Source organism: Homo sapiens, chromosome 11 (genome assembly GCF_000001405.40).
Source record: "Homo sapiens chromosome 11, GRCh38.p14 Primary Assembly".
Taxonomy (NCBI): Eukaryota; Metazoa; Chordata; class Mammalia; order Primates; family Hominidae; genus Homo; species Homo sapiens.
Genome location: NC_000011.10, coordinates 69,968,522 through 69,984,372, shown reverse-complemented (window position 1 = coordinate 69,984,372; position 15,851 = coordinate 69,968,522). Strand labels below are relative to the sequence as shown.

Here is a 15,851-nt window from a genome sequence, read left to right as displayed (position 1 = left end):
CTCAAAATCCCACACAGGCACTCAAGTGGGATTTTATTCTCCGTGGGCGGCAGGCTCACCCTCAGGAGAGCATGCCAAGAAGCCCCGGGACGTGTGCCCCAGGAGGGCAAAAGAGGATGGATGGAAATCAGAGCCTTCCTGGACCCTTGCAGGGGCTACATTCATTTCACAGAACTTTTCCATCTGACCATTGTGCAGAAGTCGAGATAAAAACTCATTTTTCTTGGAAGGGTCTGATAGCCAATGTGATACATGGCAATTGCTCAGTTATGTAAATACACAGAGAAAATTTTAGAATTCTTACCCTTGGAATGATGAACTATAAACCAAAAAGGCTCAGGGGGAAAAAAAAATGTAAATACGTCCTGGGACTATTTTTAACTGTCATTATTTACCTTTTTGGGGCAGGGATGGACTATTGTATATTTAGCCAGATTTAAAATGCACACATTATTTAATGCATGATTATTAGCAGAAATATGTTAAACAGCCATTAATAGATGTTGATTCATTCCGATTGAAGCCGCTTTTTCTTCTTTTCATTTTCTTGGCTCCAATTAAGTTGCGTTCGGATGAAACCCTTCAGCTGTGGCCAACATATGCAAAAATGCCAGTCGAAGACCCAGACGTTTAAAAGTGATATTTTAGTAAATACCTGAACCAGCTCATTTTTAAAAAGATTGCTCTCGGCTGCTATTTTGGTAAGTGGCATCACGTGATAGTGATGCCAGGCTGGGGAAGGCTGGGCTGCCCATGTGGCCCGCAGGAGAGGGTGGCCTGGAAGAGGAGCACCCGGAGCACCCTGCTTATTTTCTGGGGAACCCCACGCTGCAGACCCTCTGAAGCTGAGGGCCTCCCCGACACCCTGGGCATGGCAGGAAGATATTTATGTCAACAGCAGAGTGGGGCCAGTGCACTGGCTCGGGGAGGTGGCGTGCCTGTCATTACAACACACAGCCGTCATTACGGAATACAGTAATCACACAGCACAATGCTTGTAATTACAGAAAAATGGTTTCCCTTTTTGGCGAGGCGGCGAGGGAGGGAGAGAAGGCAGCTCTTGGTGAGGCCAGCACTGGTACTCATCCCCTGAATTGGGCGGGGTTTAAAATAGGTTTCGTAGGGTGAGGCCTTGGGCCTGGCTTGGGGGTAGGCACAGACCTACCCCAAGCCGGAGCATGATCAGATGCTGGGGACTTGCAGGGACTCTGATCTTGCTGTGGTTTCATCAAGGCCACCAGCACCATCATGCAGGTCTCCTCTGCTCCCCAATGCTGCTGGGTCTCAGCAGATGTCAGCTCAGAGCTGACTCGGCCCACAGGCGCACCACCTGCAATCACGCCTCCCTCTGTGCATTTCTCCTTTCCTCATTGACCTTCTCTGGACCCTCAGATGACTCAGGACAGGATAGATTGTCACGTACACCCTGCCCCCACTGTCACTCATCATCAGAACACATACAAGGCCACAGGTCATTTAAATGCTGATTTCGCATGATCTCAGGAAGTCTGTTTTCAGTTCGGCTTGGCTCTTTGAATGCCTGCCATGGGTAGAGCCCTTTCTCAGGTTGGAAGGGGAATGGGAGGCGCAAAGGGAGCAAAACAAAGCCCCAGCCCTCCAGGTCCAGCCTCCAGCCTGGAGGAGTGAGCAAGCTGGTGCAGAAGCCGGGCCTATGGCCTCTGCAGCCTAACAGAGTCAGTCCCGTCTGGAACAAGCTTCTTCTCAGCACCCGGGTTTGTGCATCTGTAAAATGGGTCTTGGCAACAGGTTGGAATTCTGTAGGGATAGGACAAGAATTCAGCTTCCAGCCCAAAACCTGACATGCTGTAGGGATTAGAGGGCATTATTATTTGCATCATATTCATCCTAGTCAGACAGGGAAACATGGTAGAACACTGAAATGCAGGTGGAGGCTGCTCCCAGAAGAGCCGATTGGAGCTCTTGGTGGCCCCTGCCCTGGGGCAACCGGAGAGTGGGTGGGTTTTTCAAGGTGGACGGTGACTTTTAGGGGGTTCTGGCAGAGGCTGGGTGGAAGCACCAAGGTGGAGAAGTGGGCACCCAGACAGGGATGGGAGCAGCCCAGTGTAGCAGGTTCAGGTGGGGCATCTGGCGAGTAACGGGGGCCCCTGGTGGCTATACTCAACAGGGTTAAGGGGGTCTTATTGTAATTAAACAATTCACTGGGGTGACATTCACATAAGATAAAATTGATCATTTTTAAGTGTTCAACTCGGTGGCATTTAGTGCATTCACAGTGTTGAGCACCCACATTTCTATCCAGAATATTCCCATTCCCGCAGAGTACAGCTCGAACCCGCTAGCAGTCACTCCCCATCTCCCCCCTCCCCCAGTCCCTGGCAACCATTGGCCTGCCTTCTGTCTCTATGGATTTATCCATTCTGGACATTTCATATAAATGGAATCATACATTACATGGTCTTTCGTGTCTGGCTTCTTTCATTATGTTTGGAGTTTGCTCCACATTATAGCATGTATCAGAATCGCATTTCTTTTTATGGCTGAATAATATTCCATGGTCTGGGTGTACTACAATTTGTTTATCCATTTCTTCTTGGATAGCCATTTGGACTGTTTCCAAAGGGTCTTTGGAAGGGACTAGAGAGAGCCCACAAAGGCGCCTGCAGGGGCTGGGGTGGGGCTGGGCAGAGAGCTCAGTGGCTGCGCAGGGCTAGCGGGAGAGGAGGGCTGGAGGCAGCTGCTGTCAGCCCAGCCTCCGAGGCAGCTGCTCACCACTGATACCAGGGGCTCCCAGCAGCAAAGCGCTGTTGCTGGAGTGACAGTCCTCCGCTCTGATACAGAGGACCTGCAGCTGAAGCAGGCTAAACTTGCAGAGGGGCCCTTGGACAGAAGAGGCAAGATCTCTGCCTGGGCTTCTCCTTAGGCAAGTCTGTTTATTTAACAAACACTTAGAGAGCACTTATTGTGTGCCAGGCCCCGTTCCAAGCGCTTAATAAATATCGGCTCATCGAATCCGTGCAGCAAGTCTACGTAGTACGTGCTCCTATCATTCCTACTTTACAGATAAGGAATCAGAGGCTCAGAGAGGTGAAGTGACTTGCCCAAGGTCACACAGCAGTAAGTGGGAGAGTGGGGCTTGCACATAAGCAGCCCAGCTCCAGAGTTTGTGCTCTGCTACCGTAAGGTAGAAACACAGCGTTTCCCAAAATGCCAGTCTTCCAAGCTCCATGTCCCTGGTTTGAGCCAGATTCATGGTCTTCCTGTGCCATAACTGCCTTCATATTTTTCTTTAACCCAGCTCACTAGGTCACTCTTTATTTATTTTTGATTTTTTATTTTTTTGTAAAGGAGTCTCGCTCCTGTCACCAGGCTGGAGTGCAATGACATGACCTTGGCTCACTGCAACCTCCACCTCCCGGGTTCAAGCGATTCTCCTGCCTCAGCCTCCCAAGTAGCTGGGATTACAGGCATGTGCCACCACACCCAGCTAATTTTTATATTTTTAGTAGAGACGGGGTTTCACCATGTTGGCCAGGATGGTCTCGATCTCTTGACCTTGTGATCTGCCCGCCTTGGCCTCCCAAAGTGCTGGGATTACAGGCGTGAGCCACCGTGCCCAGCCCATACTTTATTTTTTAATTGTGATAAAATGTGCATGACATAAAGTTGATCATTTTCACCATTTTTAAGTGTGCGGCTCAGTGGCATTAAGACCACTCACATTGTTATGCAATCCTCACAGCCATCAATCTCTACAGTTTTTTGTTTTTTTTTTGAGACAGTCTTACTCTGTCACCCAGGCTGGAGTGCAGTGGTATAATCTCAGCTCACTGCAAGCTCTGCCTCCTGGGTTCACGCCATTCTCCTGCCTCAGCCTCCCAAGTAGCTGGGACTACAGGCGCCCACCACCACGCCCGGCTAATTTTTTGTATTTTTTAGTAGAGACGGGGTTTCACCGTGTTAGCCAGGATGGTCTCGATCTGACCTCATGACCCACCCGCCTTGACCTCCCAAAGTGCTGGGATTACAGGTGTGAGCCACCATGCCTGGCCCCTACAACTTTTTTATCTTCCAAAACCTAAGCTCTGCACCCGTGGAATGCTCACTCCCATTCCCCACTTCCCTAACCCCAGCGCTGGCACCACCATTCTAGTTTCTGTCTCTGTGAATGTGGCTGCTCTAGGGACCTCAGATGAATTGGAACATGTGGTGTTTATCTTTTTGGGACTGGCCTCTTTCAGTGGGTGTAATGTCCTCAAGGTTCACCCATGTTGTAGCCTGTGACAAAATTTCCTCCCTTTTTAGGGCTTATCGAACTTTATTTTTAAAGAACCCAATATCACTACTGAAAGTGGAGAGGAAGAAGCACTGGCCATGAACGGAAGTTTCATAAAGCACCATAAAAATGAGCTAATGTTATTCAATTCCCTGGGATACCCTGGGGAGGCCCTGAACCACGGCACGGCACAGTTGGCCAGGGAGACGGGTGTGCTATGGAGGCATGATGGACCTCCTGGCACCAAGCTGAGACTTTCTCCATGACATCCCCGAAAGACAGAAAGAGAAGGGCAAGTGAACTACGTTCTCACCACGTGTTGCAATTCTCCTGTTGGCCAAGTTCTTGTGCCACTTCACGTTGGCTCCCTTTGCCCCTAAAAGTGTTTTGCAGGACACTCATGGCTGGGCTGCTGCATTTGGAGGAAAAGGAAGAATGAGGATTGCTTCTGTGTGTTACGCAGGCTTTGTGAGCTGACCCTGAGTCCCGCATACTTGATATCTTCCTTTTAAGATGTAGGGAGGAGTCCCCAGGCTCAGAGAGCCTGGGCAATGCCATACAGCTAGAATTAAATATCCACTTTATTATTTTTATCTCTGTTGTCTCATTCGTATGAAGTATGAATTATTGTCCCCATTTATAGCTCAGGAAACTGACGCAGAGAGGAAGAATGGCTTGCTCAAGTCCATGCAGCTGGTAAGCGGCAGAATTTGGATTAAAATCCGGGTCCAACTGATTCTAGAGATTTCTAGTCAACTCCAAAGCTCTTTCCAGAGCACCATGCCAACCTTCTGCTTATCTCTCTGGAATTTGGAATTGGCATGGGTGAACTCAATACACCAGTTGCAAAATGTTATTACCAGGAGCAAAAAGAAGGGTATGGAAATAATAGGAAAAAGCTCATCTTTAGTCCCTGTCATTCACTACGTTCAAAATCTGTCTCCGGACCCTTGGCCTCTCTTCAACCTTTGTTTGTTTGTAGGGCTGAGACAGGTGAAAGGCTCAAGGGAGGCCTCTCAGCATGGAATCTTGCAGGTATGACTAACATCTAGAGGCCTGTTTACCATTAGAGGTTGCCCGCATCGCTCGAGTTTTTGGAATTAAACTGACTCTAATTAATGGTGCAAATATTTACACTCAATATATGATCAAAGAAAACACAGCCTGGTTGTTTCAGCATAAATAGCACCAATGCCAAGACTCTTGGCAATAAGACAGAGTTGAGATTACGAACTCTAAATAGGCTTGTAAGTCATTATTTGAGGATGGTAGCTTCATATAGAAAGTGCTTTCTGTAATTGAACACACTTGAGGGGTTTTCTCCTCACATGGTTGCAGGAATAATTCAATTCGTCCTGAATAGAGAGATTAGGCTTCCATCTAGGAGTCCATGGGAGAATGACTCAAGAGAGGGGACACCTCACATGGAGATTAGTTTACAAATAGGACAATCAAGAAGGAGGCCTGGGCAGGGTGCGGTAGCTTACACGTGTAATCCCAGCACTTTGGGAGGCCAGGGTAGAAGGATTGCTTAAGGTCAGGATTTGGAGACCAGCCTGGGAAACATGGCAAGACCCTGCCTCTAAAAACAATGCAAAAATTAGCTGGGTGTGTTGGCGCACACCTGTAGTCCCAGCTACCTGGGAGGCTGAGCTAGGAGGATCACCTGAGCCCTGGAGGTCAAGGCTGTAGTGAGCCAAGATCGTGCCACTGCACTCCAGCCTGCACTACCGGGAGTGAGGCCTGTCTCAAGAAAACCAAAAACCAAAAAACAAGAAAAAACACAGAAGGTAGCCTGCAGGCACCCAGTCCATCCGCTTCTAGGGCTGGGCCCTCTCGGAGGTGCTCTGCCAACAAAAACACTTGCTGTTTTCGTCGGACCCGAGGTGGCAGCCTGGTGAAAAGGCCCACGGAGTGGCTCCAAATGCCACCCCCTTCCAGAAACCAGGACAGCACAGCTCAGAGTTACGTGGGTTCTTTGCACAGGGAGCAGCGTTTGTCCCCAGGGTCCCGGCCTCTGGTTTAATGTGGGTTTAGGGGATGCCAGTTCCCAGGGAAAGAAAACACCGGGCCAAGCTGCCCTGGGGACACCGGCCCCGCCTCTGCTCTCAGAAACCCTCCTCAAGTGTCCCTTTGGGAAGCTTTCCTTGACCCCCTCTCAGCCACAGTATGCAAATGACAGCCCCTCAAGAGAGGACCATTCACAAAACCCCGCTTTGGAGAGGGGAGATAATTCATTCCCAGACATCTGAAGGGAATCTGAGAAGGAGAAGCTAAACCCGACCTCAGATCACTCCAAAGTGCTCAGAGCAGCCACAGCCTCTGCCCCTGTCTTCAGAGCGCTGGGTCTCAGCACACAAAGCCTCGGGGCTGCAGTCATCTGGGGGACTCCCCTGGTGAGGAGCTGGCTGCATTGTCCTTGAAATCAGAGGGTAAGTCCGTGTCCCCAGGCCACCCTGGCAGGGATGGGCACTGTCCCCCTTAGGACGCATTGGATCTCTCACTCAGGGAAGGAGCCAGGCAATGCCCAGTCCTCAGACCTAAGGGCCACACTTCCACCATGGCTGATGGTTGCTCATTGTCAGCTCTGCAGGCTGGGAGGGCTGGGGGCCATCTCATTTTGAAAGGGTCACCCTGCCCCCCACCCACTCACACCAGGATCTGTCAGCCCACTGCTCTGTCGGCAGCACGCCCAGGTGCTCAGGCCCTCGCTGCAAGCAGGGAGCTTGGGGTTGTGGGTGGGACTTGTCCATTCGTGACCACGTTTCATGGTTTAGAACATCTGAGTGCTTACAGCATATGGACTACTTCCGTGGTCTTTGAGTGTGGTGGCTGGGACCACTGGGGATGGACTGGAACCTTCTGACTGACCGTGCACACAGAACCGGACTCGCTAGGGTCACGCAAGCCAGGGTTGGTATGACAACTTGGGTGACACCTGGGGGGCTACACCTGTCCCCCCCTCTTTTAATTTCACCCTAAAGGACTTCACACCATTTCTGGCAAGCTGGTTGGCCGCCTCCCTGCTCTGCAAGATGAGCTCCCTCACGCTTAGAGAAGCAGAAGAGAGTGAGTGTGCATCAGACCGCCTGGGGCTGGCCTCATCACTCACTGCGAGACCCTCAGCAGAATTCTCATCCATCTTCCAGGATTAACAGCAGCCCCTGGAGCAGCCATCTCCCGGGGGGATGAACATGACGTTCACCCCTGCCAGGGACCCGGCAAACACCAGGCCTGACCCATTTCAAGCCCCTGATATTCTTAGCCGTCATGTAATTGTCATGGCCCGGGCCGGTCAGGGCCTGGCAGCCAAGGTGACTCTCTCTGCAGGGGCTCTGCATTCCTCTTATCCAGCTGCCATAGCAGATGCTACAGATAGAGTGGCTGAAACCATAGACATTGTCTTAGAGGCTGGAAGTTGGAGTTCAAGATCAAGGCGTCGCAGGGCTGGTTCCTCCTGAGGCCTCTCTCCTTGGCTTGCAGATGGCCACCTTCTCCCTGTGTCCCCACATGATCATTCCTCTATTCCTCTGTGTGTGTGTCCTAATCTCTCTCTCTCTCTCTTTTTTTTTTTTTTTTTTTTTTTTTTTTTTTTTTTTTTTTTTTTTTTAGAGACGGAGTTTTGCTCTTTCGCCCAGGCTGGACTGTAGTGGCGCTATCTCGGCTCACTGCGAGCTCCGCCTCCCGGGTTCACGCCATTCTCCTGCCTCAGCCTCCCGAGTAGCTGCGACTACAGGCGCCCACCACCGTGCACCGCTAATTTTTTGTATTTTTAGTAGACGGGGTTTCACCGTGTTAGCCAGGATGGTCTCGAACTCCTGACCTCATGATCCGCCCGCCCTGGCCTCCCAAAGTGCTGGGATTACAGGCGTGAGCCTTCTTAGAAGGGGCCAGTCAGACTGAATTAGAACCCACCTAACAGCCTCATTTTAACTTGATACAGTTGCATGCTGAGGTCCTGGAGGTTAGGCCTTTAACAGGAATGTAAGGGGACAGATTTCAACTCATGACAGGATTTATTAAAAGGACCATTTACAGAGACACGGCCCAGGTGAAGGGCAACCAGCAGTGCATCCAAGGCCCAGAGCATGGTGGGGACAGGCGGGCACGGTCCCTAAGGGCCAGTCCTTCCCGCACCCCAGGGCGCAGAGGACAGCAAGGCCAAGGGCAGGGCTGGGGGCACCGAGGGTCTCAACACAGCATGGTACATGAGTGTTTTGTCCCCACCTATGTGTGCAACACCATCAACCAAAACAAAATCATGCAAAGTTCAACTGCCGTGCTCCTACCAGTCAATGGGATTCTGGACCAGCTGCGCTAAAATGTGGGTTATACTACCTGCCAGGTGGTGACAGGTTTCGCTGGCTGGTGAGCTCTGGTTTCAAGACCAGGGGGCTGCTTTGTGGAAGTTTGTCCTGGAGAGCGGATCCCGGAGCCAGAGTCCCACAGCTGCCAGTGGAGGGAGGGATAAACCCCATAAGGATGGTTTGCACATTTCCTAGGACCAAGTGAGGGGGTGTCCCTCTGGCACCCCAACTGCCCACAAGCTTCTGTGCTAGAAGGAGCCCAAATCACCCCTGAAGGGGGCTCCAGGGGTGGTCCTCAGGGGCTTGCTCAGCTCCCTCAGTTTAGAATCCTCCTTTGTACAGATAGGTGCCAGCTCCCTCATCCCCCGCTTCAAAGACAGTGAGAGCCTGTGGCTGTTAGTGGGTCCACGGGCAGCTCTCCTCTGGGGACTCACAGGGAGGGCGTAGTAGGCATTTGCCATTTTGGGGAGGGGGGCTGTCCAGCACCAAACTCTCCTTCCATCTGGGGGATCCCCCACTGGTGTCAGATTGATGGGTACAGAGCCCACTGTGGGGAGGGGGTAGGGAGGCCACTGCTCCATCTCCCTGGCAGCTGGGCCAACTGGACAACATGGACATGGGACCCAGGCTTGGCCTGTCGGGTGCACCTGTGAGAGGCTCAGCCTCTGACCCGGAGAGAGCAGGTTAGGATTCCCTTGGTGCCGTCAGTGGCCATGGTAGCCACGTGCGGTTGTGGGGTTGTCCTGCAGCAGCGTGGGGTGGGACGCCAGCCCCTCCAGCTCCAGCCCCTCCCAGGCTGCCTCCGTAGCTGCCTCTCAGGGCAGTTTAGTCTTTTTGCAGACGGCCACCTTCTCCCTGTGTCCCCACATGGTCATTCCTCTGTGTGTGTGTCCTAATCTCTTCTTTTTTTTTTTTTTTTTTTTAGAGACGGAGGCATCCTAGTCTTTTTCAGATAAGAACCGGACTCCGATCCTGTTGCTTGCAGCCAGGAATCCTGATCCACAGAGAGCAGAGCTCTCCTGCCCGGAAGGCTGCTGGTCTTGGCATCTTCCTTCTGAGCCACAGGTGTGGCCAGATTTCACAGGCACCATAAATTGTAGAACAGCTTGTGTTTCTCTCCTAGAACTGGCTGCTGGGAGGCTCAGAGACAATGTGGGGAGGTACACTGAGCAGGTGCTTAGGGCTCCAGGTCATCCACAGGTGGGTCCCCCATCCCTGGGTCCAGGGGTCAGGGCCAAGAGCATGAGGTTCTGCTGGCCAAGAGACTACTGCTGCACACCTTGAACCAGCTCAGCCGTCTTGGGCAGACGCCCTTTCCTTTCTGTGCCTCAGTTTCCTCATCTGTAAAGCGGTCGTTCATGATAGTACCTAGCCCAAGGTTTGTCATGGAGAACATGTGACCAAAACCAGGTGGAACAGCCTGTGTCTTGCCCATAGTAACCATCTCTAAGTGTTAATTAAATATTGTTATTATTGTTATTATTTTGAGACAGAGCCTGGCTCTGTCTTCCAGGCTGGAGTGCAGTGGCATGATCTTGGCTCACTTCCTCTGCTTCCTCTGCTTCCCAGGTTCAAGCGTTTCTCCCACCTCAGCCTCCCGAGTAGCTGGGATTACAGGTGCCCACCACCACACCTGGCTAATTTTTGTATTTTTAGTAGAGATGGAGTTTCACCATGTTGGCCAGGCTGGTCTCGAACTCCTGTCCTCAGGTGATCCACCCACCTCGGCCTCTCAAAGTGCTGGAATTACAGGTATGAACCACTGTGCCTGGCCTTAAATATTATTTTTAATATCTGACTTTCTGAACCCTATCTTCCCTGTGCCTCATTTTTTCCTGTGAACTTCCAGATTGTCTTATTTTTTGAGGAATTAAAAATATGTTGGTAAGCTATCTTACAACCTTTTTGAAACCAGAAGGAATCCAATTTTTTTTTTTTTTAGACGGAGTCTTGCTCTGTCACTCAGGCTGGAGTGCAGTGGCATGATCTCGACTCACTGCAACCTCCACCTCCCGGGTTCAAGCCATTCTCCTGCCTTAGCCTCCCGAGTAGCTGGGATTACAGGCACGCACCACCACGCCCGGCTAATTTTTGTATTTTTAGTAGAGATGGGGTTTCACCATGTTGGCCAGGTTGGTCTTGAACTCCTGACCTTGTGATCCACCCGCTTCGGCCTCCCAAAGTGCGGGGATTACAGACATGAGCCACCGCGCCCGGCTAAGGAACCAGAAGGAATCTAAAGGCCTGCAATAAAGTAGAAGATGCTCTATGATGCCTCGCACCGCCTAGCAAGGATAACTCCCTAGAGCCCGAGACAGGAGGAGCCAAAGCATTTTTCCTGTTTAATAGAGTCTTTCAGGGCCAGTGGAAAATATTTAGAAAAGTGGAAGATGTCAGCCAATCAGCATTTCCTGGAGCACCTCCGATCCCTCGGACGCAGGTCGAAGTGCTGAGGATACAGTGATTTTTTGAAAAAGTCTCTGCTTTTAAGAAAATTATATTTTTATGGGGGAGAAAGAGAATAAGCAAATATATCATGCCAGATCACGAGGGAGTTTTGAAGAAAAATGAAGCAGGGTGAGGGGACAGAGTGAGATGCCAGAGCTGGGCGCGGTGGCTCACGCCTGTAATCCCAGCACCTTGGGAGGCTGAGGTGGGTGGATCACCTGAGGTCAGGAGTTCAAGACCAGCCTGACCAACATGGAAAACCCCATCTCTACTAAAAATACAAAAATTATCTGGGTGTGGTGGCACACGCCTGTAATTCTAGCTACTCAGGAGGCTGAGGCAGGAGAATTGCTTGAACCCGGGAGGTGGAGGTTGCAGTGGGCTGAGATCTTGTCATTGCACTCCAGCCTGGGCAACAAGAGCGAAACTCTGTCTCAAAAAAAAAAGAAAGAAAAAGAAAAGTAAAAAGAAAAAAAAATGCCAGATAGGGGCCAGGCCAGGGAGGGTCCCACTGAGTATGGGTGTGTGTAGAGGCCTGAATGGAGGCCGGCAGGTAGATCTGCAGGCATCTGGGGAAGAACATCTCGACCACGCAGAGGCCCTGAGTGCAGCTGGCTGTTGCCTTACAACATGCCGAACTCTCTGAGGCGTGCTGTCAGGGTAAGGACCTGAGTCTTCTTAGGGTTGTGAACTACGTCTCCAGGCAAATGTTGATACAGCGTCTTTACACAGGACCGTCTTATCAAAATACAGTGAAAGCACTAACAACAAAACCCAGTGGGTCATGAATTGTTTCACAGCTCCAGGAAGACGATACATATCATGTTAATTATAGCACTTTACAGTTTTCAAAGGAAATACGTACACAGCAGGTGCGTGCCTGTACACCCCTCCCAGGAAACGAGGCGTTGCATTGTCTGCAAGGCGGTTGTCTCATCATTGAGTTGATGCCGGCTGCTTGTGTGTTTGCAGTGGCACTCCTGACTTTCAGGACTGAAAAGTGTGTCCTCGAGTGACTGGGCACTCATTTCAAAGACAGTCTAGCCACACACGGCTCATACTGTACATTTTAGGCTGAGATAACGCCGGCATTTTCAACAGTAGCCTGTTGGTCAATGCCCTGGCATACTGGTTTCTCTGATTTCACCTTCACTTTTTTTTTTTTTTTTTTTTTTTGAGACGGAGTCTTGCTCTGTCATGAAGGCTAGAGTGCAGTAGCATGATCTTGGCTCACTACAACCTCTGCCTCCTGGGTTCAAGCGATTTCCGGCTAATTTTTGTATTATTTATTTATTTATTTTTTTAGTAGAGCCGGGGTTTCGCCATATTGGGCAGGCTGGTCTCAAACTTTTGACCTCAAGGGATCCACCCGCCTGGGCCTCTCAAAGTGCTGAGATTACAGGTGTGAGCCACCGCGCCCAGCCTCGCTTTCACTTTTCTTTGCAATGGGAGTCATTTCTGTCATCTCACAGACTGAAGCAGTCAGTGTCTGTTTTGTTCTCTGCAAAGTAGGTAAGGATGGGATAAGAGTCACCTTTCCGGCAGTCGTGAAGGTGAGAGTTACATAAACACACGGGGAGGACACCCCTACTGGGTGTCAAAGCTCATCCAGCATTAGCCACAGGCCTCCCCGGGCCTGGAGCTCTGAAAGTGAGGGTGAGCTTTGATTCTCTCACTTGGCCTCCTCCGACAGCCCCAGTCCATGGTCTGGGAAGGAAGACAGGGAGGCAGCCAGTGAGGAAAAGTCTGAGTATCTAAAAAACAAAAACAAAACAAACAAGAAGGAAGGGAGGAGGAGGAGGAGTAAAAAGAAAAAGAAAAAATGAAAAGTTTTTTTCTTAGAAACTTTTTAGAAGTTTCTCTTTTTTAAAGAAGAGAGCAAAAGCAAGTGGCCTCTATACAAATTCAACCTGTTAAAACACCAGCCATCATTCAGCTGCTCAGCAAACACACAGACCACGTGCCAGGCACAGTTCTAGGATACAGCAGAGAACAGAACACACAAAACTCTCTGTCCTAGCAGAGCTTCAAATCTAGAAAGCTCCATGAGGCAAATTGTGTGGAACATAGAATCACACGTGGTCTAGGCTGGAGAGGACCCAGAGACCATGGGGACCAACTCTCCCCTTTTACAGATGAGGAAACTGAGACTCAGAGGGAAGAAGTGAAACCCCAGGTCTCCAGCTAGTTGGTGCCCCCCCAGCACAGGGACTAGGAATTCTGTCCTGAACCTGTGTCACAGACTGACAGTTCTCCTCCCCACCCCCAATATTTATTCTTGGCCTTTTTCTCAGTAAGAGATTGCCTAGTTTTTACCTGACATGTGACAACCCAGAACAAAAACTGCATGTCCTGTTCTCTGCAGCCAGGTGTGGCCATGGACTAAGTTCAGGCCAGGGGGCAGCTTCCAAGAAGGGAGAGTGCCTCTCTTTGCCCTTTCTGTTTCCTGCTGGCTGGAACGCATATGTGATGACTTGAGCCCAAGCAGCCATCTTGGGCCACAAGGTGGATATCCGTGCTGAGCATGGGAGGGCGGCCTGAGAGAACACAGGGTGTCCGATGACTGCATGAGGCCCCTACCAGCCTTGGGATCCTGGAATGCCCACCTCTTGACTTGTTTTCTGTTAGAGAAATTAACTTCCACCCTTTTAAAGGTGGCATTTCTGCCTCTCACTGCAGAATCAATGGAGGCCTTCCCTGGGTCCCCACTCCCTGCGAGGCCACATTTGAACTCCTCCCTTATCATGACAGACATGAAAAAACAGCCCCAGAGAAGGGGAGTGACCTTCCCGAGGTCACAGAGTTCCCCTTATGTAAACATTTCGCTTCAGACCTGTGTGAAGTTGTTGCTAAAGCAAACAGCCCCTGCCTCCCGCGTGCTGGTCGGGACCACAGTTCACGAACCTTTCCTAACATGACATTCCCAGGAGGACTGATCGATGGGGCTGGTGGCACTTGGAAAGTGAACACCACGGTGCTGTCAGCTCAGCTCTGGGCTCCGGGGGCTGCTGTTCCCCGTGGGTCTGAGAAAACCCTTCCCTTGAGGCCAAGGCTGGGGCTGGGACCGAAGCACAGTGCCTGGGCTCTCTGCAGCCGTGCGCACTGTGGCCGCGGGGTTCTGCTCGGGCTTCTGATGTGGAGCCTCACCTCTTTGGGGTCTCCTCGGGAGAAAGAACTTCCCCCAGCCTTCCCTCCTTTGCCCTCCCCTTCCTCTCTTCCTGTTTGTCTGCATTTCCTGTTAGCAGGGATTCTCTCTGAAGCTCTGAGAACACGTCACCCTCACCCCTGCAATTGCATGGCAATTCCCCTCTCACACCGGGGAACCCCCTTTCTGATTGATGGGGAGGGACACAGTTCATCCTGGCCATGCTCCTGCATCCAGGTCTCTCTTTCGTTTTGTTTGTTTGTTTGTTTTTTGAGATGAGTCTCACTCTGTTGTCCAGGCTGGAGTGCAGTGGCATGATCTCAGCTCACTGCAACCTCTGCCCCCCAGGTTCAAGCGATTCTCCTGCCTCAGCCTCCTAAGTAGCTGGGACTACAGGTGCCCACCACCACGCCTGGCTAATTTTTGTATTTTTAGTAAAGACGGGGTTTCACCATATTGGCCAGGCTGTTCTCGAACTCCTGACCTTGTGATCCACCCGCCTCGGCCTCCCAAAGTGCTGGGATTACAGGTGTGAGCCACCGTGCCTGGCCGCATCCGGGTCTCTTGAGGCTCCCAGACTGCCTCTTTCTCTTTACCCTGCGACCCGGCAGCCGCATTTCACAACTTCTCTTGGCAGGAGAGATGCACTTTCCCAGGAGAGCTGGATGCTCAGGTTCCTAGTCTAAAGAGAGACGGGGGCAGTAGCCAGAGATAGAAGCCTCTTCCATCTCCAGCGTCAGACCGTGAACATCACCAGAGAAAGCACAGCCGCTTGACTCCAGTCCTTCCAGGAGTCTCATTCCCATTTTTCCAGAAGAGAGAGCTGAGTGCAGAGAGACTCCCCAGATTTGCCCCAGGTCAGTCCCAGCACCAGGATCCAGCCACACCTCAGACCAGATCATGTAGTTCTCCTACCACCCTTCTCAGCCTCTGCCCTAGGAGGAAGGCTACCCATGGCTCCGAAGGAGATTCCCTGGGGCTTTGGGGACAGCAGGAGAAGGGGCACGGCTTTCCACCGGCAGCTGTGCACCCCGGCCCCTATGAGGGACCCTCCCGTGGCCCTGCAGCCCTTGCAGTCCCGTGGCTGTCTAACATCCTGAAGGGGATCCCACTTCCATTCAGGCAGCAGCCACCAAGAAAGACCACGGCTGGCTTCATTTACACTAGAGTGTGACTGACTGCCACATATCTAACTGCTCCTCTCTGGAGAGGCTGGAGCTGTAATCCAGGCTCTGAGAACCTAGAGGTTAGTGACAAAGGAGTGAAGACTGGAGGGTGCAGCTTCCAACAGTGCAACAAAGGGTCCTGCCAGGGCTCCCTCAAGGGACAACCCTGTGCTGCCAGCACATACTGAAGGCTAGGTCCAAAGTCCGCGGGCTGTGTAGTTGGCATAAGAGTACCATTCCCTGCTGCTCCTGGACAGAAATCCTGTCCACGAAAGAGAGGTGGAGGCTGGCCTCTGAGCCCCCTCTGCCCTTGGAGGTCCAAGTGCTCATGCCCTCTAGGTGTGAGTGGCTCAGACCAGCTGGGAAGGGACCCTGCCTGAGGAATGACAGAGCGATGCCACCGCATCCCTGCATCTCAGCAGGGCCATCGGGGGCCACCGAGGAAGAAACGGGTCCTCGAACAATCTCAGTTCAGGGATCACAGAACTTTGGCAGCACGCCGGAGTCATTCGAGGGCTCCTTGGTAAACA

At 51.5% G+C, this 15,851-nt stretch overlaps 1 protein-coding gene across 1 annotated transcript in view, besides 3 other annotated features; it reads right to left on the bottom strand.

Moving 5' to 3' along the window:
• Positions 1-15,851, bottom strand: part of ANO1 (anoctamin 1) — a 223,534-nt gene that overhangs the window by 205,158 nt on the left and 2,525 nt on the right. The window lies entirely within an intron of this gene.
• Positions 1,758-2,480: an enhancer, noted in NCBI's record as "H3K4me1 hESC enhancer chr11:69827999-69828721 (GRCh37/hg19 assembly coordinates)". NCBI's record gives its function as "activates a minimal SCP1, AML or CMV promoter by ChIP-STARR-seq in primed H9 embryonic stem cells {active_cell/tissue: H9 hESC(primed)}" and the evidence as "EXISTENCE:reporter gene assay evidence [ECO:0000049][PMID:30033119]".
• Positions 2,481-3,203: an enhancer, noted in NCBI's record as "H3K4me1 hESC enhancer chr11:69827276-69827998 (GRCh37/hg19 assembly coordinates)". NCBI's record gives its function as "activates a minimal SCP1, AML or CMV promoter by ChIP-STARR-seq in primed H9 embryonic stem cells {active_cell/tissue: H9 hESC(primed)}" and the evidence as "EXISTENCE:reporter gene assay evidence [ECO:0000049][PMID:30033119]".
• Positions 6,443-6,942: an enhancer, noted in NCBI's record as "H3K4me1 hESC enhancer chr11:69823537-69824036 (GRCh37/hg19 assembly coordinates)". NCBI's record gives its function as "activates a minimal SCP1, AML or CMV promoter by ChIP-STARR-seq in primed H9 embryonic stem cells {active_cell/tissue: H9 hESC(primed)}" and the evidence as "EXISTENCE:reporter gene assay evidence [ECO:0000049][PMID:30033119]".